Source organism: Homo sapiens, chromosome 4 (assembly GCF_000001405.40).
Source record: "Homo sapiens chromosome 4, GRCh38.p14 Primary Assembly".
Classification (NCBI taxonomy): Eukaryota; Metazoa; Chordata; class Mammalia; order Primates; family Hominidae; genus Homo; species Homo sapiens.
This window is the reverse complement of record NC_000004.12, coordinates 9377233-9382270: the sequence shown is the minus strand read 5'-3', so window position 1 is coordinate 9382270 and position 5038 is coordinate 9377233. Positions and strand designations below refer to the sequence as shown.

The following is a 5038-nucleotide window of genomic DNA, read 5'->3' as shown; positions in this document are numbered from 1 at the left end:
ACCTGTCAGCCACCTTGCAAGCCTCTCCTATATTTGATTCAATGTACTTTTCCCGAAGCAAAATGAAAGCTCTCACAGAGGGGCCCTCCTCTGCCTTGTCCTGAGAATTGGGAAATGTATTGTCCGTGAAGGAGCCTCACCACTGAACCTAAAACTCAAGAGAAAATATTTCCTGAATATCAAGTGGGATGACTTGAAATTTTGCCAAACAGGCACAATCTTAATACGATCGGCCTTACTAAGGCTAAATGGCCTTACCCATGGTAGAAATTGACACATAATTATATTAAAAAATCTCCACAAGTGATTGATTTTACTCTGCAGCCAGGGTTTATGTCAACTGTGAGGATGATGAGCAAGAAATTCAAGCCCTTGGCAAACTGGTTGGAGAGGAAAGGACTGTGTCCAGGCAGAGCTCATATCATTATTTATTGTTTAATCTATTTAATTAAATATGTAATTTACCCACAAACTGTGGCTGGCATTATATGTACTCCTGAGCCACATTAAGATGTACTATTTGTGCTGTGAAATTCTATGGGATTTGACAAATGCATGGTGGCAGATCTCCAGCCATTATTAAAGCATAACACAGAATGCTTCTTATTCAAGCTCGTCTTCCCTCCACATAGAGGGAATCAATCGACTTTTGTATATTGATTTTTGAATTTGCTTCTTTATTTCCATCTTCTTTAATTAAAGCACAAGATATCGTACTCAATTTCCATTTGATCTTCCAAAAGAAAATTACTGAATAATCCACACCTGAATTTCAGTGATTCAGACTCAGGTCCACCGCTAAGGCCAAACGTCCTGTGCTGCCACCTCATGGCCGGCAGAGGGCAATGAAACCCATCTTTCCGGCCATGCAGGGCGCATGCGCGGTCTGCCTCCCGCGGCGGGCCGGGTCTCCAGGGAGGACCTGAGTTTTCTTCACCCATGGTCAGGGAGGCGCCATCGCCCTGGCTTTGGGGCTGGGGCCTCCGGGGAGGTTCCGGTAGGGGCGTTGGAGAGGCCGCCCTTTTTGCAAGGCCCGAGACGGCGGGACCTGCACAAGCCGCCCTATTCCATGCCCTCAGGGCGTCAGTATCCGCCTCAGGCCAGATAACCCCTCTGGGCCCCGGGTGCCCCCGCTGGGCCCGGAGCATCCTCGGCGCTGCCCTCCCAGAGCCCCGCAGAGGCTGAGGTGGCACGGGTTGGAGGGCCTGGCTCTGCGAGAAGCGGCGGCAGCGAGGGCTGGAGGACCCGGGCTACGTGGCTCTGGGGCGTCTGGCCTGGGTGGGACTGAGCCCATCCAGGGACTGGGACTCCGGGGTTCTGGTGTAGGTGGATCCGGGGCAGGCTCAGGACCAAGTCCCTCTCCTTCCACCAAGGAGCACCCAGAGGCCGGCGGGAGCTCCAGGTTCACCTCCTCTTCCTCCAGGTGTTTACTTTTCCTTTATTTCTGTGAGGCCAGAAATTGTCGCCATCCTTCATATCGGTGAATCGGGACCCTAACACTCATTACCTCAGGTTTATTGTTATTGCCATTAACAGTGTTGGTGGCATTATCACTAAGATCATCATTGTTATTATTATTGTCATTCATGATTATTAGCAGGTGTGTTCACCATTTTGTCTCAGTATGCATATATTTTTTTTTTTTGGGGGGGGGGATTGGTTTTGTATGACGTTGAATTGAGCTTCTTTAATCTTGACCAGTGTTGTCAGATTTCTGAAGAGAATTCCGGAGGGCAACTCCTGCCGTTCAGTGCAGCCACAGAATTTCGTGGGCACAGGAGAGCGCCTAGAATATTCCCCTTTCATTGCACAGCAGCTTTGGGAAATATTGGCGACCTGGCTCTGAGATGAGGTAGAAAAGACTGGATACTGGGGCAAGTGTTAGCACCTCCACTGGTGTTTTTATGAAGCTAAGCGCACTGTCTCCCACGTAGACTTAGAATAAAATTTGATGGCTCTAAAGGGCCCTGGCTGCCCTTCCTGGGACTTCCTGGGAAAGTTTAAACCTTCTGTGGTTCCTGGAGTAGGTAGGTTGCCAAGTCTGTGCCTCATATGGTAGCACCAGTCTTTTCTGGGCCAACAAGGGCACTTAGAATGTTTCCAGACGCTCAGGCATGCTGACTCTTTTCCTCCCTTCTGTTCAATGGCAATTCACTGGGTCCCTGGCTGACATAGAACATCCTGCAGAAGATTGGGCTTGGGTGACTTCCTGGCCAGCTTTCCCAGGCAGTCATCTTTGAAAACCTTGAAGAGACTCACAGAGGCCATTCACTGGTATTTCATGACTTTAAGTGGGGTTTCTGGATCCTTGAGTTTACTTAGAATATTTGAATGGCTCTGAATGGCCAAGAAACCCTCCCTGGTCTTAGAAGCTGCCAAAAGCTATTACTGGGCCTCTGAAGAGACTTTTAAAATTTTCCAAGTACATTTGGGCATAGGAAACTTTTCCAGGTCTAGCTGAGCCAACTCAGGTCGAGTCCTGAAAAACTGGTGGGTACTGGGGGATCTCATCTTACGATAGAGCAATTGGTGGCAAAGCTGGGTCTCCAGGACAGCTGTGTGTGTATATGTCTGTAGATCATGCCTTGTAGTCATCTTTGGTAACTGAACACCATTTGTGAATGGATAAACTATATTCATTGCTGTACAATAATGAAAAATCCATATGAACAATGGCAGTAATAAAAATATTGATGGATATTAACAGGAATAATGATCATCATGATACTAGTACTAATGGTTTTAATACTGATAATAAACTAACCCTATGGACTTGGGACATATAAGTTTTCCATAAGTGAATAACAGGCATAAATATTTGGCTGTGTAGGGTTATTTCAAGTCCCAAAAAGCAAGGATGAACATCTAGAACGAGAAGAAAAACAATCTGGAGGTTAGTATGTGCACACCTGGGGACTCCTGTGTTAACTTCTGGTGTTTCAGCCTAAGAGGGAATGTTAATATAATCCTGGTCCTGGAACACCATGCTGACCAACACCTACCAGCTTTCAGTAGATAAGACAGCTGGCTGATGGGGTAGGGATCCAGAGAAGGCATGGGTCCACACCTGCACATGTTGCCCAGTGGCAGAGTTCATGACAAGCAATAAGCTCCAGGACAATGTCATTCCCAGCCACCTGGCTGTCATCTGCTCTTTCATGTCCCCTCTCTACTGGTACCTCTAGGCACTGGCATGTCCTCCAGAGGCTGTAGGAGGGCATGATACTCAGTACTCTCCCACCTGCAGGAGGCAAGAACGATGGAAACAGCTAAATACCATGGCTTCTGGATTTTTTTTGGTGGGCATGGCATATTTTGCATTTGCTTTAATAATGGTGGAACCCAGTCAGTGGCTTGTAATACAGATCTAGATGGCTCTGGACACCTGTAGAGATTTTGACAATTTCCAGAAGGTCACAAGTTCTTGCAGGACTTTTTCATGAGTTCTTTGACTGAAAAGGTGGTTCAAAGAGCTTCTATACTGACTTAGAAAATGTTGCAGAGGCCAGGTGCGGTGGCTTATGCCTGTAATCCCAGCACTTTGGGAGGCCAAGGCAGGCGGATCATGAGGTCAGGAGTTTGAGACCAGTCTGACTAACATGGTGAAACCCCCTCTCTACTAAAAATACAAAAATTAGCCGGGCGTGGTGACACGCACCTGTAATCCCAGCTACTCAGGAGGCTGAGGCAGGAGAATCGCTTGAACCTGGGAGTTGGATGTTGCAGCGAGCCAAGATCGTGACACTGGACTCCAGCCTGAGCGACAGAGCGAGACTCTATCTCAAAAAATAATAATAATAATAATAAAATAAAAATAAATAAATAAAATAAAAAGGAAGAAAAAAGAAAATGTTGCAGACACTCTGGTGAACAAGTAGGCCCTCTCCTGCCACTCCAGGTAAAAGTTTCTTGGCCAGAAACCTGATTTAGAAATATCCCTTCATCTTAGGTGGGTAACAGAAAGCCATTCATGACCTATCCAAGCATGGAGAGGAGATTTGACTTAGAAAACTCTTAGGTGGACTAGTTTGTGAAAGAAAGTGCATTCTAGGGCTCACAAGCCTACACATAGAGTTGCTATCACATAAAGCATATATATGAATTCTTTCTTAGCCCATGGCAAGATGAGGGTGCACTTCATCAGTCTCCTATGCTGGTATGAATAGGTACTTGCCTGAAAAATAAAAGAATAATTCAGGAAGCCCATTCTTCTACAAGACACCAGGCAGTACAGTAGGAGTCCTGGGGTTGCTGTGGTATTTATGTTTTAAGGTTGTCTTTTAATCATCTTCAGCAAATTCAACAGTCTTCAGGAACATAAAAAAAAATTCAACATTGCATAAAAACGACCACAAATATATCCATGATAAAGAACCCTACCAATATAATAATAACATTAATGACAATCATAATGGTGATGATATAAATCTCAATTTAATGAAGAGAGTAATAAAAAAGCAGATATTTAAGAACATATTCCTGTAAGCCTGTGACAGTGTTCCCATACGAGCCCTCATGTTATTGATTAGATGGAGAAACTTAGGGCTACATCTTGAAATATATTCTGTGATGGCAAAGAAGAGTGGCAGTGGGGAGAATAATTCTGAGCCACATGAGAGCATGGGCAAAAGTGGAGATACCTATACCATGTGGAAATACATTACAAATGGACTATGGCAAAGGGTCTGGCCAGAGTCTTGCCTGACACAGGTCGTACAAAAGCCTTCAGTAGTTCACCCCAAGAAATAGCTGGTCCAGGCTGTAGATGAGAGGCACTGGGCAGACAGATCCACACCCACCTCCTGAGTCTCAGAAGTCTGGTGTTGCATCGAACATTAAGCCCCTAGCCTACTGAGACTTCACCTCCCAGCTGGTCTTCTACCATCTCATTCTTGAGCCCCATCACGTTAGTGTCATCTCCATACTGGAATTGCCAACAATGTCTGATGGAGGGTTTCACCCTGGGTACTTGGTACCGGCAATGTATGAAATACCAGAAGGGAGGCTCCAGGGCTTCCATAGAAGACACATTCTAAAG

General features: G+C 45.8%; 1 annotated feature.

Moving 5' to 3' along the window:
- Positions 573-1110: an enhancer, noted in NCBI's record as "H3K27ac-H3K4me1 hESC enhancer chr4:9382887-9383424 (GRCh37/hg19 assembly coordinates)". NCBI's record gives its function as "activates a minimal SCP1, AML or CMV promoter by ChIP-STARR-seq in naive H9 embryonic stem cells {active_cell/tissue: H9 hESC(naive)}" and the evidence as "EXISTENCE:reporter gene assay evidence [ECO:0000049][PMID:30033119]".